Source organism: Homo sapiens, chromosome 7 (assembly GCF_000001405.40).
Source record: "Homo sapiens chromosome 7, GRCh38.p14 Primary Assembly".
In the NCBI taxonomy this organism is placed as follows: domain Eukaryota; kingdom Metazoa; phylum Chordata; class Mammalia; order Primates; family Hominidae; genus Homo; species Homo sapiens.
The window spans coordinates 100,747,401-100,774,795 of NC_000007.14; the positions used below are offsets into that span (position 1 = coordinate 100,747,401).

The window sequence follows — 27,395 nt, forward strand, 5'->3', positions numbered from 1 at the left end:
AATAAATAAAATAAAAAAGAAGATTGTGCTTTCATTTGGTGGTAATCGTCCCCAGCTATGCCCTCTGCTCCTCATCCTCCTAGGTATAGTTCAAAGTCGTTTCCCAGTCCCCTTAAGCTCACTTCTCCTTCCAATTCCTTTCACTGCAGGGAGTATCCGGAAACACACTCTCTTCTCAGGACAACCTGGGCCCAACTGGCAGGCTGTTTCTGTCAATTACACAGCCGTGGGACGGATACAGGTACAGAGAAGCAAGGGGTCAGGTCCTTGCACATGGTAGGCACACCCAATGTTGAAATAAATTGAGGGGCCTGGTGCTGTGGCTCATGCCTGTATTCCCAATACTTTGGGAGGCTGAGGAGGGAGGATCGCTTCAGGACAGGAGTTCAAGACCAGCCTGGGCAACATAGAAAGACCCCATCTCTACAAAAAAATACAAAAATTAGGCGGGCACAGTGATGTGTGCCTGTAGTCCCAGCTACTAGGGAGCCTGAGGTGGGAGGATCACTTGAGCCCTGGAGGTCAAGGCTGCAGTGAGCTATGATCACACCACTGTACTCCAGCCTGGGCAATAGAGCAAGACTCTGAAAAAAAAAAAAAAAGAAAGAAAGAACTGAATTGAGGGTCTGGGCACAGGGAGTAGGGATTCTGGGTCCTGGAATGGAGTCGAGTTAGATCAGGGGCTTGGGGGTGTGGGCTGTGTGCTCACTCCTGCTCCATCTCCCTTTCTCTCCAGTTTGCCGTGGTAGGCGTTTTTGGAAAGACCCCAGAGCCAGCTGTGGCAGTTGATGCAACCAGCATTGCTCCTTGTGGGGGTGAGAGCAGGCCCTGAGAGGCCCGGATCTCTCAGAATCCGGGGTGGGCTGGGGGAGGGCTGGAGAGCGTCACTCAACTTGCTCAAATATCCTATTTTGATCCCCCAGAGGGTTTTCCTCAGTGTGACTTTGAAGACAACGCCCATCCCTTCTGTGACTGGGTCCAGACTTCCGGGGATGGTGGACACTGGGCCCTCGGACATAAAAATGGACCCGTCCATGGCATGGGCCCTGCGGGAGGTTTCCCTAATGCAGGTGAGGAGATTGAGGAGCGCTCACGCCAAGAAATCACTCAGTCTGCTCCCAGGTAGCAGGCTGGCTGCTGTGACTGATGGGAGACGTTGTTTCAGGCAGTGGGAAGATCAGTCCACAGGTGTTTTTTCGGAAGTTTCCATGGTACTGGAATTGTGGAGATAGCAGAGTAACTTAAAGATTCTCAGGGCTGGGGGGTCACTGAAATCCTGAGAAAACCCAGGCATCTCACTTCATGGAGCCCAAAGCTTCAAAACCCACCACCTCATTTTCAGTCTAGACGTTTATGAGTGGCTCATGCCTGCAATTCCAGCACTTTGAGAGGCCGAGACGGGAAGATTGCTTGAGCCCAGGAGTCTGAGCTCAGCCTGGGCAACATAGTGAGAACCCCATCTCTAGAAAAAAAAATTTTTTTTTAATTAGCTAGATGTGGTGGTGTGTGCTTGTGGTCCCACCTACTTGCGAGGCTGATGTGGGAGGATCGCTTCAGCTCAGAAGTCAAGGCTGCAGTGAGCTATGATTGAACCAGTGCACTCCAGCCTGGGCAACAGAGCAAGACCTTGTCTCTAAAAATTAAAAATAAAAAAATAGGCCAGGCATGGTGGCTCACGCCTTTAATTCCAGCACTTTGGGAGGCCGAGGCAGGTGGATCACTTGAGGTCAGGAGTTCGAGACCAGCTGGGCAACATAGTGAAACCCTGACTCCACTAAAAAAAATGTAAAAATTAGCCGGGAGTGGTGGCGTGCACCTGTAGTCCCAGCTACTCAGGAGGCTGAGGCAGGAGAACTGCCTGACCCCAGGAGGTGGAGACTGCAGTGAGCTGAGATCGCACCACTGCACTCCATCCGGGGCAACAGAGTAAGATTCTGTCTTAAAAATATATAAAAAGAGGCTGGGCGCAGTGGCTCACACCTGTAATCCCAGCACTTTGGGAGGCCAAGGAGGGCGGATCACAAGGTCAGGAGATCGAGACCATCCTGGCTAACACGGTGAAACCCCGTCCCTACTAAAAACACAAAAAATTAGCCAGGCATGGTGGTGGGCGCCTGTAGTCCCAGCTACTCGGGAGGCTGAGGCAGGAGAATGGCGTGAGCCCGGGAGGCAGAGCTTGCAGTGAGCCGAGATCACGCCATTGTACTCCAGCCTGGGTGACAGAGTGAGACTCCGTCTCAAAAAAAAAAAAATATATATATATATATATATATATACACACACACACATATATATACACACATATATATATACACACACACACATATATATATATAAAGAAATAATTTTTTAAAAAGACAATAATGAGGGTGGGGTGCAGTGGCTCACACCTGTAATCCCAATGCTTTGGGAGGCTGAGACGGGTGGATCACTTGAGGCCGAAAGTTCAAGACTAGCCTGGCCAACATGGTGAAACCCCACCTCTACTAAAAACACAAAAATTAGCCAGACATGGTGGTACACACCTGTAATCCCAGCTACTTGGGAGGCTGAGGCAGGACAATCGCTTGAACCTGGGAGGTGGAGGTTGTAGTGAGCTGAGATCGTGTCACTGCACTCCAGCCTGGGCAACAGAGCGAGACTCCATCTCAAAAAAACAACACACACACACACACACACACACACACACACACACACACGACATTAATGAATGTAATCTAGGTTGCTGGTTTGTTATTCCCTTTTTTTCTTTTTTGAGATGGAGTCTTGCTCTGTTGCCAGGCTGGAGTGCAGTGACGTGATCTTGGCTCACTGCAACCTCCACCTCCGGAGTTCAAGCAATTCTCCTGCCTCAGACTCCCGAGTAGCTGGGACTCCAGGCACGGGCCACCACGCCCAGCTAATTTTTGTATTTTTAGTGGAGACGGGGTTTCACCATGTTGGCCAGGATGGCCTTGATCTCTTGACCTCGTGATCCGCCAGCCTCGGCCTCCCAAAGTGCTGGGATTACAGGCATGAGCCACCGTGCCTGGCCGCTTTTCCCTTTCTTTGTGATCCCACCTTCTTTAGTTAGATGTCTAAAATGAGCAGAAAAAATAATGCTACGACCTGGGAAATTTGAGTGTTTGCTCAGATTCCCGTTCAGAAAGCAAAGCTTTGCTAAAGCAGCAGTTGGCATGTCCTGTGCAGGCTTCTTACCTTGCCTGTTCCCTTCCTTTGCCTAGGGGGTCACTATATCTACCTTGAGGCTGACGAGTTCTCCCAGGCAGGCCAGTCAGTCAGACTGGTGAGCCGGCCCTTCTGCGCCCCAGGTGACATCTGCGTGGAGTTCGCATACCACATGTATGGCCTTGGGGAGGGTACTATGCTCGAACTCCTCCTGGGAAGTCCTGCGGGGAGTCCCCCGATTCCTCTCTGGAAACGCGTGGGGTCTCAGCGCCCTTACTGGCAGAACACCTCCGTCACCGTCCCCTCAGGACACCAACAGCCCATGCAGGTGAGAGACGGAGGCGGGGGTCCTGTCTGTGTGAGGTGAGAGGGCCAATGCCTGGGATCTGGGGGCGCCACCAGTGCTGAAGAGGTGGAAAGCTGGAAAGAGAGCCGAGAAAAGGGGAACTTCGTGTTACAGAAAGTGAGAAAGGGGCCGGGATGGGGCTGGACTGTTGAGGCTGGAACAAGGCGACATTTTGGCAGAGAACAGATTCTATGCCCAGTGGAATCACAGAGTTGCTGGAGATTCATTTTTGTTTCTCTCTCCGTCTCTCTCCCTTGTCGCCTTTAGCTTATTTTCAAGGGCATCCAGGGAAGCAACACGGCCTCTGTGGTTGCTATGGGTTTCATCTTGATCAATCCTGGGACTTGTCCAGGTAAGACCAAAGCCCAGGCTCCAGGAAGGGGGCGGTGCCCTGAGGTTCCCTGGAGTTCTCTCTATGAACTGCTTAAAATGTGAGTCCTCCCTGGAGCCCGAATTCTCACCCAGCTGGCTTTGTTTTCCATCTTCAACACACCTCTCCTTCCCCTGCACTTCAAGATGTTTGCCTGGGTGAATGTGGCTTCGATACCATGGATTTTGGGGGCTGGATCCAGAACTCCTTCCTCTGCAGTCTTGAAGGCTGGACCCATATCCTATTCATTTCTGGCATAATATCTGACATATATTAGTGTTCGTTGAGTGGATGAAGGTTGGGGTTTGGGAGTAGAAAGAGAGGTGTGAATAAGCCACCCATGGGAGCCCACTCCAGTTAGATGGCAGTAAAGAGGGTGGTGGTATGGTTTTGACTAAACTCCAGGGATTCTTATTTTTCTTTGCAGTAAAAGTGCTACCAGAGCTTCCTCCCGTATCTCCAGTTTCTTCCACTGGCCCTTCTGAAACCACTGGCCTCACAGAAAACCCTACAATCTCCACCAAGAAACCTACAGTTTCCATAGAAAAACCCAGTGTCACCACAGAAAAGCCCACAGTCCCCAAAGAAAAGCCCACCATTCCCACAGAAAAACCCACCATCTCCACAGAAAAACCCACCATTCCTTCAGAAAAACCCAACATGCCCTCAGAAAAACCCACCATTCCCTCAGAAAAACCCACCATCCTCACAGAAAAACCCACCATTCCCTCAGAAAAACCCACCATTCCCTCAGAAAAACCCACCATTTCCACAGAAAAACCCACCGTCCCCACAGAAGAGCCCACCACCCCCACTGAGGAGACCACCACCTCCATGGAAGAGCCTGTCATCCCTACAGAAAAACCCAGCATCCCTACAGAAAAACCCAGCATCCCCACGGAAAAACCCACCATCTCCATGGAAGAGACTATCATCTCCACAGAAAAACCCACCATCTCCCCAGAAAAACCCACCATCCCCACAGAAAAACCCACCATCCCCACAGAAAAATCCACCATCTCCCCAGAAAAACCCACCACCCCCACAGAAAAACCCACCATCCCCACAGAAAAACCCACCATCTCCCCAGAAAAACCCACCACCCCCACAGAAAAACCCACCATCTCCCCAGAAAAACTCACCATCCCCACAGAAAAACCCACCATCCCCACAGAAAAACCCACCATTCCCACAGAAAAACCCACCATCTCCACAGAAGAGCCCACCACCCCCACTGAGGAGACCACCATCTCCACAGAAAAACCCAGCATCCCCATGGAAAAACCCACTCTCCCCACTGAAGAAACCACCACCTCTGTTGAAGAGACTACCATCTCTACAGAAAAACTCACCATCCCCATGGAAAAACCCACCATCTCCACAGAAAAACCCACCATCCCCACAGAAAAACCCACCATCTCCCCAGAAAAACTCACCATCCCCACGGAAAAACTCACCATCCCCACGGAAAAACCCACCATCCCCATTGAAGAGACTACCATCTCCACAGAAAAACTCACCATCCCCACAGAAAAACCCACCATCTCCCCAGAAAAACCCACCATCTCCACGGAAAAACCCACCATCCCCACGGAAAAACCCACCATCCCCACTGAAGAGACTACCATCTCCACAGAAAAACTCACCATCCCCACAGAAAAACCCACCATCTCCCCAGAAAAACTCACCATCCCCACAGAAAAACCCACCATCTCCACGGAAAAACCCACCATCCCCACGGAAAAACTTACCATCCCCACGGAAAAACCCACCATCCCCACAGAAAAACCCACCATTCCCACAGAGAAGCTCACAGCCCTGAGGCCACCCCATCCCAGCCCCACAGCCACTGGGCTGGCAGCCTTGGTGATGTCTCCACATGCTCCAAGTACCCCTATGACCAGTGTGATTCTGGGCACTACCACAACCTCCAGATCCAGTACAGGTATGAGGTGGATGGAGCGTGGGCCAAGGCTGAAAGTCAGAGACAATGACTAGGAGACAGTCAGGGAAAGGGATGCTTCTGGTAGAAGCCTTCTAGTTGCTTCTAGATGCTTCTAGTACTCTCAGAGGAGAGCTGAAGTAGTCCATGGCGACTTCAGAGGAAATGGGGAGGACTGCCCAGAGCGAGAGGGATGGCAGGGCTGGAGTGGGTGGGGGTGTCAGGACTGAACCACGAGGCTTCCTTCTCGTTGTTTGTTATTGAGATATAATCCATATTTCATAAAATTCACCCTTTTAAAGTGTACAATTCTAGGCCGGGCACGGTAGCTCAAACCTGTAATCCCAGCACTTTGGGGGGCCAAGGCGAGAGGGTTGCTTGAGCTCAGGAGTTTGAGACCAGCCTAGGCAACATAGTGAGACCCTGTCTCCACTTTAAAATTAAAAAAAAAAAAAAATTAGCTGGGTGTGGTGGCGCACGCCTGTAGTCCCAGCTACTCGGGAGGCTGAGGTGGGAGGATCACTTGAGCCTAGGAGGCTGAGGCTGTAGTGAGCCATGATTGTGTCACTGCACTTCAGCTTGGGCAACAGAGCAAGACATCGTCCTAAAAAAAAAAAAAAAAAAAAAAAGCAAAAGCAATTCTGTGGGTTTTAGTATATTCCTAAGGTTGTGCAACCATCATCACTTTCTAATCCAAACACTTTCATCACTCCAAAAAGAAATCCTATACCTATTAGCAGCCACTCCCCACTCCGCCTTCCCCCAGCCCCTGGCAACCACACATTTCTTTCCTATATCCATGGATTTGCCAGTTCTGGACAGTTCATACAAATGGAATCATGCAACATGTGAGCCTTTGTGTTTGGCTTCTTTCACTGAGTGTAATGTTTTCCGGGCCATCCATACTGTAGCATGCATCAGGACTTCATTCCTTTAAAAAAAGTATTTCTGGCCAGGCACGGTGGCTCACGCCTGTAATCCCAACACTTTGGGAGGCTGAGGCGGGCAGATCACAAGGTCAGGAGATCGAGACCATCCTGGCTAACACAGTGAAACCCCGTCTCTACTGAAAATACAAAAAAATTAGCTGAGCGTGGTGGTGGGTGCCTGTAGTCCCAGCTACTCCGGAGGCTGAGGCAGGAGAATGGCGTGAACCCGGGAGGCAGAGCTTGCAGTGAGCCGAGATCATGCCACCGCACTCCAGCCTGGGTGATAAAGTGAGACTCCGTCTCAAAAAATTAAAAATAAAAATAAATAAATAAATAAATGGAGTATTTCTTATTTTTTATATTTTTGAGACAGGGTCTCGCTCTGTCACCCAGGCTGGAGTGCAGAGGTGTGATCTCGGCTCACTGCAACCTCTGCCTCTGGGGCTCAAGCAACTATCCTGCCTCAGCCTCCTGAGTAGCTGGGGCCACAGGCCTGCACCACCACGACTGGCTAATTTTTGTATTTTTAGTAGAAACGGGGTTTCACCATGTTGGCCAGGATGGTCTTGACCTCCCAAAGTCTTGGGATTACAGGGGTGTAATCCTGTAATTACGCCTCAGCCTCGGCCTCCCAAAGTCTTGGGATTACAGGGGTGAGCCACTGTGCCCGGCTCTAGGGTTTCGCCCTGTTAGCCAGGCTGTTCTTGAACTCCTGGCCTCAAGTGATCTGTCCGCCTCGGTTTACCAAAGTGCTGGGATTACAGGCGTGAGCCACCGTGCCTAGCCTAAAATTGTTTTATTTTTAAATTTGTTTTGTAGGGATGGGGTCTCACTACGTTGCACAGCCTGGTCTCAAACTCTTGGCCTCAAACAGTCCTCCTGCCTCAGCCTCCCAAAGTGCTGGGATTATAGGTGTGAGCCACCGCACCCAGCCTTCAGGCCTTTTTATGGCTAAATAATATGGTCCTGTTTCCTAGAGAAGAACTTGAGTTTGGGGGTAGAGGAGAGACAGGGAGACTCCCTGAGAAAGCCATGGAATGAAAGCATGACAGAGGCTGTTTTCCCCTTAGAGCGCTGCCCTCCAAATGCCCGCTACGAATCCTGTGCTTGTCCTGCTTCGTGCAAGAGCCCCAGGCCTAGCTGTGGGCCCCTCTGTCGGGAGGGCTGTGTCTGCAACCCTGGCTTTTTGTTTAGTGACAACCACTGCATCCAGGCCTCTTCCTGCAATTGCTTCTACAACAACGACTACTATGAGGTAAGCCCCCCGGGATGCTGGGGTCCCATGAGGGAGATTGATGGCAGAACACCTGGGTTCCAGCTCCATCTGCTCCCCATGTGAAGGCAACAGGGATCACCGGATAGTCCCAAGGGGTCAGCTCAGAAGCAATGGTTACATGATGGCGAAGTTATTCATTCAATCTTTTCTTTTTTTTTGAGACAGGGTCTCGCTTTGTCGCTCAGGCTGGAGAGTAGTGGCATCATAGTGGCTCACTGCAGCCTCCACTTCCCGGGCTCCAGTGATCCTCCCACCTCAGCCTCCCAAGTAGCTGGGACTGCAGGCACATGCCACCATGCCCAGCTAATTTTTGTATTTTTGGTAGAGACAGGGTTTCACCACGTTGCCCAGGCTGGTCTTGAAATCCTGAGTTCAAGCAATCCTCCTGCCTCAGCCTCCCAAAGTGCTGGGATTATAGGCATAAGTCACCGTGTCTGGCTGGGCACATTTCTTTTTTTATTTTATTTTATTTTTTTTGAGGCAGAGTCTAGCTCTGTCACCCAGGCTGGAGTGCAGTGGCACGATCTTAGCTCACTACAACCTCCACCTCCCGGGTTCAAGCAATTCTCTGCCTCAGCCCCGCAAGTAGCTGGGATAACAGGCTCACGCCACCACCCTGGCTAATTTTTGTATTTTTAGTAGAGATAGGGTTTCACCATATATTCTTTACGTCTTTAAATCTTTTATCCATATTTATAAAGTGTACACAGTAAGATTTTCTACCTCATATAAGATTATTGTAAAGATGAAATTAAGTCCTAACACATACAATTACTTAATAAGTGTTAATTATTATCATTAGCAATTTATGATAAATATATGCAACCTATTAATTAAAAGTGCATTAAAGGGCCCAGCGTGGTGACTCACAGCTGTAATCCCAACACTTTAGCAGGCCGAAGTGGAGGGATTGGTTGAGCCCAGGAGTCTGACGCTGCAGTGAGCTATGATTGTGCCACTGCACTCCAGCCTGGGCGACAGAGTGACACCCTGTCTCAAAAAAAAAAAAAGAAAAGTGCATTAAGCTATTCATTAATGTGCAGAGCCTCTTCCCAGCTGCAGGTGTTCTTCCCATTGACATCAGAGCTTCTGCTTGTCCCTTTTGGGACTATTATTTCTTTCCCCTGCCTCCTTTAACCAGTCTCCTGGGTCTCTCTGAGTTGCTGCTGAGATTAGCTTCAGCCACAGCCTGGGCAGAAAGATCTGTCACAACCATTGGCACCAAGAAGCTCTTCCCTCTGCCCTAGGAGGCATGTATTCACTTTTGTTTTTTTTTTTTTGACAAACTATTCACTCACAGTTCTCTATTGATGCAAAAACCATTCTAGCCGTGTTTGTTTGTCTGTTTGTTTTTGAGACAGAGTTTCGCTCTTGTTGCCCACGCTGGAGTGCAATGGTGCCATCTCCGCTCACTGCAACCTCCGCTTCCCAGGTTCAAGCGATTCTCCTGCCTCAGACTCCGGAGTACCTGGGATTACGGGCATGCGCCACCACGCCCAGCTAATTTTGTATTTTTGGTAGAGATGGGGTTTCTTCATGTTAGTAAGGCTGGTCTTGAACTCCCGACCTCAGGCGATCCGCCCGCCTCAGCCTTCCAAAGTGTTGGGATTACAGGCGTGAGCCACCGCGCCTGGCTGTATTCACTTCTAATAGATTCATTTATGCATTCAACAAATGTTTATTTAGTACTTTCTTCAAAGGTGTGTTTTTTTGGTTTGTTTTTTGGGGTTTTTTTTTTGGTAGAGATGGGGTCTGGCTCTGTTGCCCAGGCTGGTCTATGAACTCCTGGGCTCAACCCATCCTCCCACCTCAGCCTCCCAAAGTGCTGGGATTACAGTGGTGAACCACCACACCCAGCCTACTTAGTACTTTCTACTCTGCTGGCACTGGGGTCGCCACGAATAGGCTGTGGTCCTTGCCCTCATAATGCCCTCAGATTCAGAGAGACACATGGGGTCTTGGTTTACTCCTTCATTCAGCAAGTATTTACTGAATGAGAGCACTCATGGGAGGGCTAAGATGTTGGGTAAAGACAGATATTGGCTGGGTGCAGTGGCTCATGCCTGTAATCCTAGCACTTTGGGAGGCCAAGGCGGGCGGATCACCTGAGGTCAGGAGTTCGAGACCAGCCTGGCCAACATGGAGAAACCAAGTCTCTACTAAAAATACAAAAATTAGCCGGGCGTCGTGGCGGGTGCCTGTAATCCCAGCTACTCTGGAGGCTGAGGCAGGAGAATCGCTTGAACGCTGAAGGCGGAGGTTGCAGTGAGCCAAGATCACGCCACTTCACTCCAGCCTGGGTGACAGAGTGAGACTCCGTCTCAAAAAAAAAAAAAAAAACAAAAAAACAGACAGACATAAGGCTGGGTGCAGTGGCTCACGCCTGTAATACCAGCATTTTGGGAGGCCAAGGCAGGAGGGTCACTTGAGCTCAGGAATTCAACACCAGCCTAGGCAACACAGCAAGACTCCATCTCTCCAAAACGTTAAAAAAAAAAAAAAAAAAAAGTCGGGCATGGTGGCATGTGCCTGTAGTCCCAGATACTTGGGAGGTTGAGGCAGGAGGATGGTTTGAGCCCAGGGGGTCAAGGCTGCAGTGAGCCATGATTGCGCCACTGCACTCCAGCTTGGGCAACAGAGCAAGACTCCATCACAAATAAATAAATAAATAAATAAATAAATAAATAAATAAATAAATGAAAAAGAAAGGCAAAGGGAGAAGTACTCTAGGAGCTATATGACTGTGTGACCTCACATCCCTTTCTCCCAGCCTGGGGCAGAGTGGTTCAGCCCCAACTGCACAGAACATTGCCGCTGCTGGCCCGGCAGTCGGGTCGAGTGCCAGATCTCTCAGTGTGGGACACACACCGTGTGCCAGCTTAAGAATGGCCAGTATGGATGCCACCCCTACGGTGAGAGCCCCTCCCCATGCTGTCCCTGCCTGCCAGCCAGTTGGAGTAGACGTGACGCCAGGATCCCAATCCCTCGCTTGAGCAGAGGATTGGGGGCCTGCCACCGGGCAGCGGGTGGGCCAGCATGTGCGGTCCAGCCTGGAGGAGCCACAGAAGCAGCTTCGCCTGTTCTCCTTCCCCCTCCCAGCAGGCACTGCCACCTGCTTGGTCTACGGAGACCCTCATTATGTCACCTTTGACGGGAGGCACTTTGGCTTCATGGGCAAGTGCACTTACATCTTGGCCCAGCCCTGTGGCAACTCAACAGGTAGGCCCTGGAGATGCCACTGCGGCCTGGGGGGAGGGTCTGTGGGCAGCGCTGCTAGGCATGGGGCATGGTGGGTGGCAGGAAGGGGCAGGGCACAGATGGGGGAAGAGGCAAGATAGGAGCAAGTTCTTCTGTAAGGTGAGGGTTGAAGGCCAGGCACAGTGACTCACACTGGTAACCTCAGCACTTTGGGAGGCTGAGGCAGGAGGATCACTTGAATCCAGGAGATTGAGACCAGCCTAGGCAACACAGCAGGACTCTCATCTCCATGAAAAAAAAAATTAAAAATCAGGCCGGGCTCAGTGGCTCACGCCTGTAACCCCAACACTTTGGGAAGCCGAGGTGGGGGGTTCACCTGAGGTCAGGAGTTTGAGACCAGCCTGGTCAACATGGTGAAACCCCGTCTCTACTAAAAATATAAAAAATTAGCCAGGCTTGGTGGCAGGCACCTGTAATCCCAGCTACTTGGGAGGCTGAGGCAGGAGAATTGCTTGAACCTGGGAGGCGGAGGTTGCAGTGAGCCAAGATCGAGCCACTGCACTCCTGCACTCTAGCCTAAGCAGCAAGAGCAAAACTCTGTCTCAGAAAAAAAAAAAAATTAAAAAATCAGCTGGGTATGGTGGGACACACCTATAGTCCCAGCTAGTCGGGAGGATGAGGCAGGAGGATCGCTTGAGCCCAAGAGTTGGAGGCTGCAGTGAGCTATGATCACACCACTGCACTCCAGCCTGGGTAGCAAAGTGAGATCTTGTCTCGAAAAATAAATAAATACACACATAAATGAAGTTAAAAACAAAAAAGCAAAGAAGGCAGTGGTAGTGGTTAGGGAGCACAGACGCCCTGGAGGATGTTCCAGCCACTGAGTGGAGACAGACACGCTGCGGCTGCAGGCTCTTCTGGAAGAGGCAGTCGTGGTCTGCTCCTGTGTGGATCCGGCCTCCCCTACTGGACTTTGGGGCTGGTGTCTCGGTGGCGCTCATCTCTCCCTGCGGCGCCAGGCTCAGGGCACTGCTCGCGGCAGATGTTCAGAAATGAGCCACTGGGCTCTCTTCATTCCTCTCCCTACCCAGACCCATTCTTCAGGGTGACAGCCAAGAATGAGGAGCAGGGACAGGAAGGCGTGTCCTGCCTGAGCAAAGTCTACGTGACCCTGCCCGAGAGCACCGTCACCCTGCTTAAGGGCAGACGCACTCTGGTGAGCCCCATTCCACCCCCACCATCCTTGCAGGGTCTGACTGTGTGTCCTGGCCAACCCTTCCAATCCCTGAACCTTTCCACGGATGGGGTTCAACAAGACAGTGACCTGCAATCCCAGCTCCTTGGGAGGCTAAAGTGGGAGGATTGCTTGAGGCCAGGAGTTTGAAGCCAGCCTGGGCAAGATAGCAAGACCCTGTCTCTTAAAAAATAGAAAAAATTAGCCTGGTGTGGTGGCACTTGCCTGTTGTCCCCTCTACTCCAGAGGCTGAGGTGGGAGGATTGCTGGAGCCTGGGAGGTCGAGGCTGCAGTGAGCTGTGATTGCACCATTGCACTCCAGCCTAGGCAACATAGTAAGACACTGTCTCCTAAAAACAAAAACAAAAACAAAACAGTGGTGAGGAAGCTCCAGTCCACTCCTGGTGGATGAGATTGTTAGGCCGCTGTGGATGGTGTCCTGCCTCCCAGCTATGGAAATGAAAGTCTGCTGGGGTCCTCCTTGACCCCCAGCTCTGTCTGTCTCTTGCCTCTGCCCTGCCTTCCAGGTTGGGGGTCAGCAAGTTACTCTCCCAGCCATACCCTCTAAAGGCGTCTTCCTGGGTGCAAGCGGGCGGTTTGTGGAGCTGCAGACGGAGTTCGGTTTGCGGGTGAGATGGGATGGTGACCAGCAGCTGTATGTTACTGTGTCCAGGTAAGGCAGTGTCCCAGCCAGGCAGCTGCCACTTCTTCCTGCTGCCTCTTCCTGCTGCCTCTTCTTCCTGCTGCCCACCCTGCCCACTCCCCTTCCATCCCTGGCACCACTACTTGATCCTTTATGCATTCACGGATGGGAAGCACCCTGCTTAAGTGGCAGGGATCCCTTTGGACCAGGAGACAGGAGAAAATGGTTTCGGGGCATGTGATAGATAGCAGGATGGATGTACATGCTTTGGGAATGTGCTAGAAGGAGCACTAGTGAGTTCTGGAGGCTTTCTGAAGGGCAGTCACCTGGTCCCATTCTCGAAGGAAGAGTGGCTCCCCAGATGGACAAAACAAGGGAAAGCAAGATTCTTCTTCTTCTTTTTTTTGAGACAGGATCTCTCGCTCTGTTCCCTAGGCTGGAGTGCAGTGGTGCTATCTCGGCTCACTGCAACCTCTGCCTCCCAGGTTCAGCAATTCTCCTGCCTCAGCCTCCCAAGTAGCTGGGATTACAGGCGCACACCACCATGCCCAGCTAATTTTTGTTTTTAGTAGAGATGGGATTTCATCATGTTGCCCAGGCTTGTCTCGAACTCCTGACTTCAGGCGATCCTCCTGCCTCGGCCTCCCAAAGTCTTGGAATTACAGGGGAGCCACTGTGCCCGGCGAAAGAAAGACTTTATAAAAATACTTTATAGAGGCCAGGTGCAGGGGTTCCCGCCTGTAGCCCTGAACTTTGGGAGGCTGAGACGGGAGAATCCCTTGGGGCCAGGAATTCCAGACCAGCCTGGGCAACATAGTGAGACCATATCTCCACAAAAAAATTTAAATATTAGCCAGGCGTAGTGGCCTGCACCTATAATCTCAGCATGCTGGGAGGCCGAAGCAAGAGGATCACTTGAGGCCAGGAGTTCCAGACCAGCCTGGACAACATAGTGAGATCCTGTCTCTTAAAAAAAAATTAGCTTCTCGTGGTGGTACTTGCCTGTAGTCTCAGCTACTCAGGAGGCTGAGGTGGGAGAATCGCTTGAACCCAGGAGTTGGAGGCTGCAGTGAGCCGAGATTGCACCACTGTGCTCCAGCCTGAGCCACAGAGGGTGACCCTATCTCTAAAATAAATAAAAAAATAAATAAATAATTTGGCCAGGCACGGTGGCTGACACCTGTAATCCCAGCACTCTGGGAGGCCAAGGCAGGCAGATTAGGAGTTTGAGACCAGCCTGGCCAACATGGTGAAACCCCATCTCTACTAAAAATACAAAAAAATTAGCTGGGCGTGGTGGTGTGTGCCTGTAATCCCAGCTACTCGGAAGGCTGAGGCAGGAGAATCACTAGAACCCGGGAGGTGGAGGTTGCAGTGAGCCGAGGTTGCACCACTGCCCTCTAGCCTAGGTGACGGAGAGAGACTCCATCTGAAAAAAAGGATAAATAAATAAATAAATAAATAAATAAATAAATAAATAAAGTGGGAGTGTTTTAGGGCCAGCAAGGGGTTTGCTGTGGCTGGACAATGAACAGAGGGGAAGGAGGCTTGGGGGAGGGCCATGGGGTCCTCTTGTCCAGTCCGCACCTCTTCATCCTCCTCACGCCCTCTGTTTTAGGATCCCAGCTCCTTGCCTTCTCTGCCACTGCCCCTCGAGGACCGAGGCTGCTTCTCTCCATTAACGCCAGCTCCTCTCCTGTTCCCCTAGCACATACTCTGGCAAACTCTGTGGTTTGTGTGGGAACTATGACGGCAACAGTGACAATGACCACCTGAAGTTGGACGGCAGCCCAGCAGGAGACAAGGAGGAGCTGGGGAACAGCTGGCAGACGGACCAGGACGAGGACCAGGAGTGAGCAAGGAGCCCTCCCACCGGGGCCCTGGGAAGGTTCCGTCCCCTTCCTGGAACTCTCTTTTTTTTTTTTTTTTTTTTTTTTGAGATGGAGTCTCCTTCTGTCGCTTAGGCTGGAGTGCAGTGGTGCGATCTCAGCTCACTGCAACCTCCGCCTCCCAGGCTCAAGCAATTATCCTGCCTCAGTCTCCCGAGTAGCTGGGATTACAGGCACCTGCCACCACACACAGCTAATTTTAGTATTTTTGTAGAGATGGGGTTTCACCATGCTGGCCAGGCTGGTCTCAAACTCCTGGCCTCAAGTGATCCACCTGCCTTGGCCTCTCAAAGTTCTGGGATTACAGGTGTGAGCCACCACACCACCACGTCCAGCCCTCCACCCGCCCTTTTTTTTTTTTTGAGATGGGATCTCCCTCTGTCTTCCAAGCTGGAGTGCAATGGCACGATCGTGGCTTACTGCAGCCTCAAACTCCTGAGCTCAAGCAATCCTCCCTTCTCTGCCTCCCAAGTAGCTTGGACTACACCATGCCCAGCTAACTTTAACAAAATTTTTTGGTAGACATGGGGTTCTCACCAGATGGGGGGTTGACCAGGCTGCTGGCCCTCCCCAACGGTTTTTTTTTTTTTTTTTGAGATGGAGTCTTGCTGTGTCACCCAGGCTAGAGTGTAGTTGTGCAATCTCAGCTCACTGAAACCTCTGCCTCCTGGGCTCAAGTGATTCTCACGCCTCAATCCCAATGAGATTATAGGCACATGCCACCACACCTGTCTGATTTTTGTATTTTTAGTAGAGACGGGGTTTCATCATGTTGGCCAGGCTGGTTTCGAACTCCTGACCTCAGGTGATTCACCTGCCCTGGCCTCCCAAAATGCAAAATGCCGGGATTACAGGCATCACCACCACACCCAGCCTGTGCCCTCCCTTTAAAAAATGACTGGCATTGCCCCTTTCTCCTCTCTACCCTGGAGACTTCAAGTTGTTCTTTCAGTTGCTCAATATTCTTTTTTGTTTGTTTGTTTGTTTGTTTTTAGAGACAGGGCCTTGCTCTGTCGCCCAGGCTGGAGTGCAGTGGTTCAATCACAGCTCACTGCAGGCTCCAACTCCTGGGCTCAACAGATTCTCTCACCTCAGCCTCCTGAGTAGCTGGGGCTATGGACGTGCGCCATATGAAATATGAAATAAATAATTTCATATTTATTTTTAAAGAGATGGGATCTCAGTGTGTTACCCAGGCTGGCCTGGAACTCCTGGGCTCAAGCAATTCTCCCTGCCTCGGCCTCCCACAGTGCCTGGCCAGGGCTCAGTGGTCAAACATCCTCTGGGAGGGGTTTCCCAGCTGACAGGCTGGTTTGCCGGTCCCGGCCTGCCAGCCTTGCTGCCTGCTGGGTTAGGGATGAGCTGGAAGCGAGCTTTGTCTTTAGGGAGTTTGGGGTGGGTCTCTTGCAGGTGTCAGAAGTACCAGGTGGTGAATTCCCCGTCTTGTGATTCATCTCTGCAGAGCAGCATGTCGGGGCCAGGGTTCTGTGGACGGCTGGTCGACACTCATGGCCCATTTGAGTATGAAGGAGGGCAGGCAGGGTCGCACAGGGGCGATGCTTGGCACCTGGGCTCCTCCAAGGCTCTACCCCCTTCCACTGCATTCCCCCTGACTTGGTCACTCCCCTCAGGACATGCCTGCTGCACGTGAAGGCCGCTTCCTTCTTCGACAGCTGCATGCTTGATATGTGCGGATTCCAGGGGCTGCAGCACCTGCTGTGCACACACATGTCCACCATGACCACCACCTGCCAGGACGCAGGCCACGCTGTGAAGCCCTGGAGGGAACCCCACTTCTGCCGTGAGTTGTGCCAAACTCAGAGGAGAGGCCGGGCACGGTGGCTCACACCTATAATCCCAGCACTTTGGGAGTCCGAGGCAGGTGGATCATGAGATCAGGAGTTTGGGACCAGCCTGGCCAACACCCCGTCTCTACTAAACATACCAAAATTAGCCAGGCATGGTGGCATATGCCTGTAGTCCCAGCTACACTGGAGGCTGAGGCAGGAGAATCGCTTGAACCCGGGAGGCAGAGGTTGCAGTGAGCCGAGATTGCGCCACTGCACTCCAGCCTGGGCGACAGAGTGAGACTCCATCTCAAAAAATAAAATAAAATAAATAAATAAATAAATAAAAATACAGAAATTAGCTGTGTGTGGCAACGGGTACCTGTAATCCCAGCTACTTGGAGGCTGAGGCAGGAGAATTGCTTGAACCTGGGAGGCGGAGGTTGCAGTGAGCCGAGATTGCACCACTGCACTCCAGCCTGGGTGACAGAATGAGACTCCATCTCAAAAAATAATAAAAATAATAAATAAATAAATATACAAAAATTAGCTGTGTGTGGCAACGGGCGCCTGTAATCCCAGCTACTTGGGAGGCTGAGGCAGGAAAATCGCTTGAACCCGGGAGGTGGAGGTTGCAGTAAGCAGAGATTGCGCCACTGCACTACAGCCTGGGCAGTGAGAGCGAAACTCTGTCTTTAAAAAAAAAAAAGTGTTTCTGTGCAGCCCAAGTCATCACACGCAGGCACACGGTACAGGCCCTAGGCAGGGGAGGCAACGAGGCTGCCTCCCAGCTCCTGGTGTGGCCCAGCTCTTTGGGGAAGCTGCTTTAGGGCAGGCCTATCCCCTGACTCAGACCTCACAGGTGGCCCCGGTCCCCTGCGGGCCAACAGCTCACCTGGGGCATGTCTACACAGCAGCGCTGCCAGTGGTGGGTCCATCTGCTCCCACCATAGGTCTATCTAAGTCTCTCAGGGCCGGCGCCTTAGTGCTGGCCCTGCAGCCCCAGGGAGCCAGCCAGGCTCCTTGGGGAAGCTTCTCACAGTCACTCTCTCTTCTCGAGATTGGCCAGAAGCCTGGAGCTGGGGCCCTTCCGAACGTGTCCTTCCTGTTTCCCACCCAGCCCCGTGGCTTGTTCGTCTCCTTCTCACCCAAGCTTCTCCCTCCACCAGCAATGGCCTGCCCGCCCAACAGCAAGTACTCCCTGTGTGCGAAGCCATGCCCTGACACCTGCCATTCAGGATTCTCCGGCATGTTCTGCTCAGACCGGTGCGTGGAGGCCTGTGAATGCAATCCGGGCTTCGTCCTCAGTGGCCTCGAGTGCATACCTCGCTCCCAGTGTGGGTGCCTCCACCCTGCAGGCAGCTACTTCAAGGTGAGCGGCTGCGTGGACCTCTCAGCCCTGCAGCTAGAAAGGGCCTGCTCCCTGCTCTCACACCCCCTGCAAGCTCTTTCTTTTCTTTTCGTTTCTTGTTTTGTTTTGTTTTTGAGACGGAGTTTTGCTCTGTCGCCAGGCTGGAGTGCAGTGGCACGATCTCGGCTCACTGCAACTTCCGCCTCCTGGGTTCAAGTGATTCTCCTGCCTCAGCCTCCCGAGTAGCTGGGACTACAGGCATGCACCACCATGCCCAGCTAATTCTTGTATTTTTAGTAGAGACGGGGTAGGGGGCGGTTTCACCATGTTGGCCAGGATGGTCTTGATCTCTTGACCTTGTGATCTGCCCACCTGGGCCTCCCAAAGTGCTGGGATTACAGGCATGAGCCACCATGCCTGGCCCTTGTTTTTTGGTTTTTTGTTGTTGTTTTTGGTTTTTGTTTTTTTTTTGAGACAGAGTCTCGATCTGTTGTCCGGGCTGGAGTGCAGTGGCACGGTCTCAGCTCACTGCAACCTCCGCCTCCCAGGTTCAAGCGATTCTCCCGCCTAAGCCTCCCAAGTAGCTGGGATTACAGGCGTGCACTACCACGCCAGGCTAATTTTTGTATTTTTAGTACAGATGGGGTTTCTCCATGTTGGCCAGGCTGGTCTCAAACTCCTGACCTCAAGTGATCCACCCGCCTTGGCCTCCCAAAGTGCTGGGATCACAGGCGTGAGCCGCCACACCTGGCCTCGGATAGATCAATTTTGGTTGAAATGATGAACAGACCCAGAAATGATGTAGTGACTGAAAAAACGAATGGATGCCAAGCTTTTGCAGCGAATCTCGGAGCTTCAGGAAGAGAGGATGTCTCCCCACTATTAAGCCAGTGATCTGAACAGCTCTGGTGAGCTCTGGTGTCAGATCTGGGAAAAAACAAAACAAAGCAAAAAAAAACACTTTCTCTTCCTTCCCTGCTGTCTTCCCCAGGTAGGGGAGCGGTGGTACAAGCCAGGCTGCAAAGAGTTGTGCGTCTGTGAAAGCAACAACAGAATTCGCTGCCAGCCCTGGAGGTGTAGGGCCCAGGAGTTCTGTGGCCAACAGGATGGTATCTATGGCTGCCATGCCCAAGGTGAGCCATCAGGGTGGAAGGTGAGCTGGGGGCTGCCCAGGCAACACCAGGCAAGGTGATGGGTCCTGCCCAAAGCAGCTTCCCCAGACAGCTGAGTCTCCACCAGGGCCTGGGAGGGGCAGCAGGGGCAGCATTTTCAGGGACCCAAAGGGTGAGGTTGGGGACGTCAGTGTTTCTCTTAGGCAGCTCCAAGCCAAGCCAACCACACTTCCTAGGGAAACACCACATCTGTGGGTGGGCCGTGGGGACCATGCCAATGTGGGCTCTCCAGGATGGCAGCTCTGAGTCAAAGCTTCCGGGGCATGGAGGAGTGAGACTGTGAACTCCATCTTCTTCTCCACAGGTGCCGCCACCTGCACAGCCTCGGGTGACCCCCACTACCTGACCTTCGATGGCGCCTTGCACCACTTCATGGGCACCTGCACCTATGTCCTGACCCGGCCTTGCTGGTCCAGGTCCCAAGACAGCTATTTTGTTGTGAGCGCCACCAACGAGAACCGCGGGGGGATCCTGGAGGTCTCCTACATCAAAGCCGTCCACGTGACAGTCTTTGACCTCAGCATCTCACTGCTCAGAGGCTGTAAGGTCATGGTGGGTGTCTTCCTCCTGCCTCCTGGACCCTGAACACCCAGCCTGCTTGCTTCTCTCCTGTGCCCCTCCTTGCCCGGATGCCCACCTCTCTGGCTCCTTAGAGCACCTGGGAAGCACCTGCAGCTGACCCAGACCCTCTTCTCTGGACTCCCTCCTCCCTCTGTGAAATACCCACCAGCACCAGCCCCTCCTGCTCCCAGTTTTTTGCCGTTTTTTTTTTTTTTTTTTTTTTTTTTGAGACAGGGTCTTGCTCTATCACCCAGGCTGGAGTGCAGTGGTGCGATCATAGCTTATTGTGGCCTTGACCCCCTGGGCTCAAGTGATCCTCCCACCTCGGCCTCCTAAGTAGCTGCAACTATAGGCATGCACCACCTGCACGGCTAATTTTTTTTTTCACTTTTTGTAGAGACGGGCTTTCTCCATGTTGCCCAGGCTGATCTCGAGATCCTGGGCTCAAGCGATCCTCCGCCTCGGCCTCCCAAAGTGCTGGGTTTGCAGGCATGAGCCCCCGTCCTTGCCTTTATCCCGAGTTCTTTCCTGACTCTCCTTTCTACGTCCTCCCTGCCTCTGCAGCTGAATGGCCATCGGGTGGCCCTACCTGTGTGGCTTGCACAAGGCCGGGTGACCATAAGGCTCAGCAGCAACCTCGTCCTCCTCTACACGAACTTTGGGCTCCAAGTTCGCTACGACGGGAGCCACTTGGTGGAAGTGACAGTCCCCTCCTCCTATGGCGGCCAGCTCTGTGGGCTGTGTGGTGAGTTTCCTGGGCACCTGCGGGGAAAGCTGGGACAATGAGTAGGCGTGTGACCTGGTCCCAGCTCCCCCAACATCTCTGTGAGGTGTTCTAAGTACTTGTCAACTGACTAATTCGTTGAGGACATTAGGCATGAAGGTAGGAGTTAAGGGAAGACGGAGATGAAGAGACAGAAAGGGGCCAGGCGCGGTGGCTCATACCTGTAAATGCAACACTTTGAGAGCCCGAGGAGGGTGGATCACTTGAGGTCAAGGGTTCGAGACCAGCCTGGCCAACATGGCAAAAACCTGTCTCTACTAAAAATACAAAAATTAGCCAGGCATGGTGGTGCATGCCTTTAATCCCAGCTATTTGGGAGGCTGACGCGGGAGAATCGCTTGAACCTGGGAGGTGGACGTTGCAGTGAGCTGAGATCGCGCCACTGCACTCCAGCCTGGGTGTCAGAGCAAGACTCCATCTCAAAAAAGAAGAAAAAGAGACAGAAAGGGTTAACCTTGCTATGTAGAATGAAAAGTGAGGGTGCCAGGAGGATGGTGGCCCTGGGGCCTGGCCTGCTGGGGGGCCCCTTCTTGCCTGTTTTAATGACTCCCTCCTCTAGGGAACTACAACAACAACAGCTTGGATGACAACCTGCGCCCCGACAGAAAGCTTGCAGGCGATTCCATGCAGCTGGGGGCCGCCTGGAAGTTACCTGAATCCTCTGAACCTGGGTGAGCTGGGGGTCAGGGGAGCCAGGCAGGAGGGGCTGGGCCTGGGAAGGGCCTCGGGGGGCAGCTTGGAAGTGTCCTCTGTGTGTCCCCACTCCCTCTGTGCTGTACCTCCCAACTGGCAGGAAACTGGCAATCTCTCCTGTTTAGACTCTCCAAGATTGGAGTTGGTAAGAAGCTGTTCTGACTTCCCACGCCCACGCCTGCTGATTTCTCCCATGCTTAGTGATCTCTTTGGAGGGCCCACTTGGGAAGTTCACCCTGAGGTCTAGCCTTTTTCCTTCCTGCTGCATCTCCTTGCCTTGCTACTTGAGGGCACCGTTTTGTCCTCTTCTCCTGTATCCCTCTCTCTTTCCCTGTCCACTTTTTGTTTTGTTTTGTTTTGTTGTTTTTGAGACAGAGTCACGCTCTGTCACCCAGGCTGGAGTGCAGTGGCACGATCTCAGCTCGCTGCAACTTCCGCCTCCCAGGTTCAAGTGATTATCCTGCCTCAGCCTCCCAAGTAGCTGGGATTACAGGCACTCGCCACCACGCCCGGCTAATTTTTGTATTTTTATTTGAGACAGCGCTTCTCCGTGTTGGCCAGGCTAGTCTCAAACTCCTGACCTCAGGTGATCTGCCTGCCTTGGCCTCCCAAAGTGCTGGGATTACAGGTGTGAGCCACTGCACACAGCCCCCTGTCCACTTTTGCTTCGGTTTGGGAGATGGTTCCTCAGGCCCTCAGGTCTTGTCTTGTCTTTTTTTTTCTTTTCTTTTCTTTCCTTTCCTTTCCTTCTCTTCCCTTTCTTCCTTCCTTTCTTCCTTCTTCCTTTCCTTTCCTTTCCTTTTTTTCTTTTCTTTTCTTGAGACAGGGTCTTGCTCTGTTGCCCAGGCTGGAGTGCAGTGGTGCAATCATAGCTCACTGAAGCCTCCAACTGCTGGGCTCAAGCCATCCTCCCACCACAGCCTCCTGAGTAGCTGGGACTATAGGCACATGCCACCACGCCCGGCTAATTTTTAAAAATTTTGTGTAGAGATAGGATCTCACTATGTTGCCCAGGCTGGTCTTGAACTTCTGGTCTCAAGCGATCCTCCTGCCTTGGCTTCCCAAAGTGCTGGGATTATAGGCATGAGCCACTGCACCCAACCTGTAGCCCTCAGTTTCTATTCTCTCTCATTTAGCTGTTTCCTTGTGGGTGGCAAGCCCTCCAGCTGCCAGGAGAACAGCATGGCAGACGCCTGGAACAAGAACTGTGCGATCTTAATAAACCCTCAGGGTAAGACATGTCCCTGCTGGCCCTTTTTCCTCCCTGAAGGACAGGAGGCTGGGGAGGGAGTCTAGTCAGGGAGGGAGAAACAACAAGACCAGAAACAGATGGAAAAGCATGAGGAAGGCAAATGGGAACACAGGGCCAGCCAGCAGTCACCTTCTTGGGACCTATGACTGATGGGTCTGTATTTGTGTCTCAGGCAGTAGATAAATCCGGGATTTCTTTTTTTTTTTCCTATTAAAAATGTTTTAATAGGCTGGGCGCAGTGGCTCATGCCTGTAATCCCAGTACTTTGGGAGGCCGAGGAGGGCAGATCCCGAGGTCAGGAGTTCGAGACCAGCCTGGCTAGCATGGTGAAACCCCGTCTCTACTAAAAATACAAAAAATTAGCTGGGCCTGGTGACGGGCACCTGTAGTCCCAGCTACTTGGGAGGCTGAGGCAGAAGAATCGCTTTAACCTGGGAGGCAGAGGTTGCAGTGAGCCGAGATTTCGCCACTGCACTCCAGCCTGGGCGACAGAGTGAGACTCTGTCTCAAAAAAAAAAAAAAAAAAGTTTAATAGAGATGGGGGAGTCTCACTATGTAGCCCAGGCTGTTCTCGAACTATGGACCCCAAGGGATCCTCCCCCTTGGCCTCCCAAGTAGTTGGGATGACAGGCATAAGCCACCACGCCTGGCCGTTTTTTCTTTTTTCTTGTTTTTTAGAGACAAGGTCTCACTCTGTTGCCCAGGCTGGAGTGCAGTGGCACGATCACAGCTCACTGCAGGCTTGAACTCCTGGGCTCAAGTAATCCTCCCGCCTCAGCCTTCAGAGTAGCTGGGACCACAGGCATGCACCACCATGCCCAACTAATTTTTTTTTTCTCACTCTGTTGCCCAGGCTGGAGTGCAATGGTGTGATCTCAGCTCACTGCAACCTCTGCCTCCCAGGCGCAAGCTATTTTCCCACCTCAGCTTCCCAAGTAGCTGGGATTACAGGCCTGTGCCACCACACCCGGCTAGTTTTTGTATCTTTAGTAGAGACAACATTTCACCATGTTGGCCAGGCTGATCTTGAACTCCTGACCTCAAATGATCCACCTGCCTTGGCCTCCCAAAGTGCTGGTATTAAAGGCATGAGCCATCATGCCTGGCCTAATTTTTAAATATTTTCTGGAGATGAGGTCTTGCTATGCAGCCCAGGCTGGTCTTGAACTCCTGGGCTCAAGTGATTCTCCTGCTTTGCCCTCCTAAAGTGCTGAGGTTATAGGCGGGAGCCACCACACAAATCTGGGTTTTGTTTGTTTGTTTTGTTTATATTCTCTGTTACCCAGGTTGGAGTGCAATGGCACAATCATAGCTCATCCTCCTGCCTCAGCCTGCTGAGTAGCTGGGACTACAGGTGTGCACCACCATGGCCGGCTAATTTTTGTACAGACACAGTTTCACTGTATTGCTCAGGCTGGAAAATCCAGGAGGTTTTTTTTTTGTTTTTTTTTTTTGAGACGGAGTCTTGATCTGTTGCCCAGGCTGGAGTGCAATGGCACAATCTCAGCTCACTGCCACCTTTGCCTCCTGGGTTCAAGAGATTCTCCTGCCCCAACCTCCCGAGTTGCCTGGACTACAGGTGCCCTCTACTATGCCCTGCTAATTTTTGTATTTTTAGTAGAGATTGGGTTTCACCATGATGGTCAGGCTGGTCTCAAACTCCTGACCTCAAGTGATCTGCCCACCTCGGCCTCCCAAAGTGCTGGGATTACAGGTGTGAGCCACTGTGCCTGGCGGGAAAATCCAGGTTTTGACTGAAGTGGATGTCGAATCAGCCCCAGGGAAGCCACATGGCCCTGTTCCTTCCCGGCCCCTCCCCTGGCTCATCTGCCTTCTCTCTTCCTGCAGGACCCTTCTCTCAATGTCACCAGGTGGTGCCTCCCCAGTCCAGCTTTGCCAGTTGCGTGCATGGTCAGTGTGGGACCAAGGGCGACACCACAGCCCTGTGCCGCTCCCTGCAGGCCTACGCGTCCCTGTGTGCCCAGGCTGGCCAGGCCCCTGCCTGGCGGAACAGAACCTTCTGCCGTGAGTGACTGGCCACCTGTTCCCACAGCCCATAGGCACCCTCCAGAATTCTGCCCTCCCTTTCTTCCTCTAAATTCTTTTTTTTTTTTTTGAGACGGAGTCTCACTCTGTTGCCCAGGCTGGAGTGCAGTGGCGCAATCTCGGCTCACTGCAACCTCTACCTCCTGTGTTCAAGCCAAGATGGGTGAATCACCTGAGGTCAGGAGTTGGAGACCAGCCTGGTCAACATGGTGAAACCCCGTCTCTATTAAAAATACAAAACTTGGCCAGGTGTGGTGGCAAGCACCTGTAATCAGCTACTCAAGAGGCTGAGGTGGGAGAATCGCTTGAACCTGGGAGGCAGAGGTTGCAGTGAGCCGAGATCACACCACTGCACTCCAGCCTGGGCAACAAGAGTGAAACAAAAAACAAGAGTGAAAAACAAAACAAAACAAAAAGTTCTGGCAGTAGATGGTGGTAATGGCAGCACGACAATGTGACTGTACTTAGTGCTGTTGAAGTGTACATTTAAAAAATTGTTGCCGGGCGCGGTGGCTCATGCCTGTAATCCCAGCACTTTGGGAGGCCGAGGCAGGTGGATCACGAGGTCAGGAGATCGAGACCATCCTGGCTAACACGGAGAAACCCCGTCTCTACCAAAAATACAAAAAATTAGCCAGGCGTGGTGGTGGGCGCCTGTAGTCCCAGCTACTCGGGAGGCTGAAGCAGGAGAATGGCGTGAATCTGGGAGGTGGAGCTTGCAGTGACCCAAGATCATGCCACTGCACTCCAGCCTGGGCGACAGAGCGAGACTGTCTACAAGAAAAAAAAAATTGTTAAAATTGTAGATTTTATGTCTGTTTTTTTTTTGTTTGTTTTTTTTTTTTTTTGCTTTTGAGAGTCTCGCTGTCGCCCAGGCTGGAGTGCAGTGGTCTGACCTCGCCTCATTGCAACCTCTGCCTCTCAGGTTCAAGAGATTCTCGTGTCTCAGCCACCCAAGTAGCTGGGACTACAGGCGTGTGCCACCCCAAGTAGCTGGGACTACAGGCGTGTGCCACCACGCCTGGCTAATTTTTGTATTTTTAGTAGAGTCGGTTTTTCACCATGTTGGCCAGCCTGTTCTCGAACTCCTGACCTCAGGTGATCCACCTGCCTCGGCCTCCCAAAGTGCTGGGATTACATGTGCGAGCTACCGCTCCTGGCCACTACTAGGAGCTTTTGATGCCCCAAGGTTTGGGGGCTGGACATGCCACCCCACTCTTCCTAATGCTCTCATTTTCTTTAGCTATGAGGTGCCCACCTGGCAGCAGCTACAGCCCCTGCAGCAGCCCCTGCCCAGACACCTGCAGCAGCATAAACAACCCGAGGGACTGCCCCAAAGCACTGCCCTGTGCTGAGAGCTGTGAATGTCAGAAAGGCCACATCTTGAGTGGAACCTCCTGCGTGCCCCTTGGCCAGTGTGGCTGCACTGACCCAGCGGGCTCCTACCACCCGGTGAGAGGCCAGCTAGGAGGGGCCCCGCCCTTTCCAGGCCCACATGTTTGGGGTCAGGGCAAGCTCAGGAGAGGCAGGAGGAAGGCTCAGAACCTGGGAGGGGCAGGGCTGGCCAAGGCTGGGGGGCGAGGAGGAAGGGCAGATGCTGCACCCAGCTTCAACTGGGGCGTTGGCCCATCTCCCAATTCCAACTTTCTGTTGGCTCAGCTGATCCCTGTGGCCCACAGGTCGGGGAGCGCTGGTACACAGAGAACACCTGCACCAGGCTCTGCACCTGCTCCGTCCACAACAACATCACCTGCTTCCAGAGCACCTGCAAACCCAACCAGATATGCTGGGCCCTGGATGGGCTGCTCCATTGTCGGGCCTCAGGTAGGAGGACCACGGTGATGGGGGGACTCCACAGCCCTGAGGCCCACTCTCCCAACTCCCCAACAGACTCCCTGCTGCCTGTAGCACTGGGTTTCAGGTTTTGACTGGTAACTCTGCTGCAACCAAGAGCTTCTGGTGGGTAAGATGACCTCCAACTGCTGAGAAGGGAACCTTGGGGCTCACCCATCCTTCTCCTGTAGCGGCCACCAACTTAGATGGGATATTATAAATCCTTCCCTGGGGCCAGACGCCATGGCTCACACTTGTAATCTCAGCACTTTGGAAGGCCAAGGCGGGTGGATCACTTGAGACCAGAAGTTCAAGACCAGCCTGACCAACATGGCTAAACCCCGTCTCTACTAAAAATACAAAAATTAGCCTATAATCCCAGCTACTCGAGAGGCTGAGGCAGGAGAATTGCTTGAACCCAGGAGGCAGAGGTTGCAGTGAGCAGAGATCGTGCCATTGCACTCCAGCCTGGGCGACAAAACTCCGTCTCTAAATAAATAAATCTTTTCCTGGAGGCCAGGCATGGTGGCTCATGCCTGTAATCCCAGTGGTTTGGGAAGCTGAAGTGGGAGAATCACTTGAGGCTAGTAGTTCAAGACCAGCCTGGGCAACATAGTGAGACCCCATCTCTACAAAAAAATAAAAGCTAAAAAGTTAAAAAGTAAAATTAAAGACATTGCACCTGTAGTCCCTGCTACTTGGGAGGCTGAGGTAGGAGGATCTCTTGAGCCCAGGAATTAGAGTCTGCATGCCAGCCTGGGTAACAGAACAAGACCCTGTCTCTAAAAAAAATTTTTTTTAATTAGTTGAATAGGGTACTTTATGCCTGTAGTCCCAGATACTCTGGAGGCTGAGGTAGGAGGACCACTTGAGCCCAGGAGTTTGAGGCTGCAGTGAGCTATGACCATATGCCATTGCATT

General features: G+C 52.3%; 1 protein-coding gene across 5 annotated transcripts in view; it reads left to right on the forward strand.

The window, feature by feature from the left end:
- ZAN (zonadhesin) overlaps window positions 1-27,395 on the forward strand; it is a 64,203-nt gene that overhangs the window by 13,806 nt on the left and 23,002 nt on the right. For all 5 annotated transcript variants that reach the window (NR_111917.2, NR_111918.2, NR_111919.2 and 2 more), the window contains exons 9-31: window positions 150-241; window positions 737-815; window positions 924-1,070; window positions 3,225-3,496; window positions 3,782-3,866; window positions 4,312-5,829; window positions 7,826-8,010; window positions 10,802-10,943; window positions 11,131-11,250; window positions 12,321-12,445; window positions 12,991-13,136; window positions 14,815-14,958; window positions 16,406-16,516; window positions 16,627-16,796; window positions 17,952-18,154; window positions 19,125-19,266; window positions 19,610-19,857; window positions 20,431-20,611; window positions 21,210-21,321; window positions 22,480-22,574; window positions 24,444-24,620; window positions 25,885-26,093; window positions 26,321-26,465. Coding sequence is in view for 2 of the 5 variants with exons in the window: in NM_173059.3 (NP_775082.2) it covers window positions 150-241; window positions 737-815; window positions 924-1,070; window positions 3,225-3,496; window positions 3,782-3,866; window positions 4,312-5,829; window positions 7,826-8,010; window positions 10,802-10,943; window positions 11,131-11,250; window positions 12,321-12,445; window positions 12,991-13,136; window positions 14,815-14,958; window positions 16,406-16,516; window positions 16,627-16,796; window positions 17,952-18,154; window positions 19,125-19,266; window positions 19,610-19,857; window positions 20,431-20,611; window positions 21,210-21,321; window positions 22,480-22,574; window positions 24,444-24,620; window positions 25,885-26,093; window positions 26,321-26,465 (4,848 nt within the window). In the remaining 3 variants the exon portion in view is untranslated. The remainder of the gene's footprint in view (window positions 1-149; window positions 242-736; window positions 816-923; window positions 1,071-3,224; window positions 3,497-3,781; window positions 3,867-4,311; window positions 5,830-7,825; window positions 8,011-10,801; window positions 10,944-11,130; window positions 11,251-12,320; window positions 12,446-12,990; window positions 13,137-14,814; window positions 14,959-16,405; window positions 16,517-16,626; window positions 16,797-17,951; window positions 18,155-19,124; window positions 19,267-19,609; window positions 19,858-20,430; window positions 20,612-21,209; window positions 21,322-22,479; window positions 22,575-24,443; window positions 24,621-25,884; window positions 26,094-26,320; window positions 26,466-27,395) is intronic.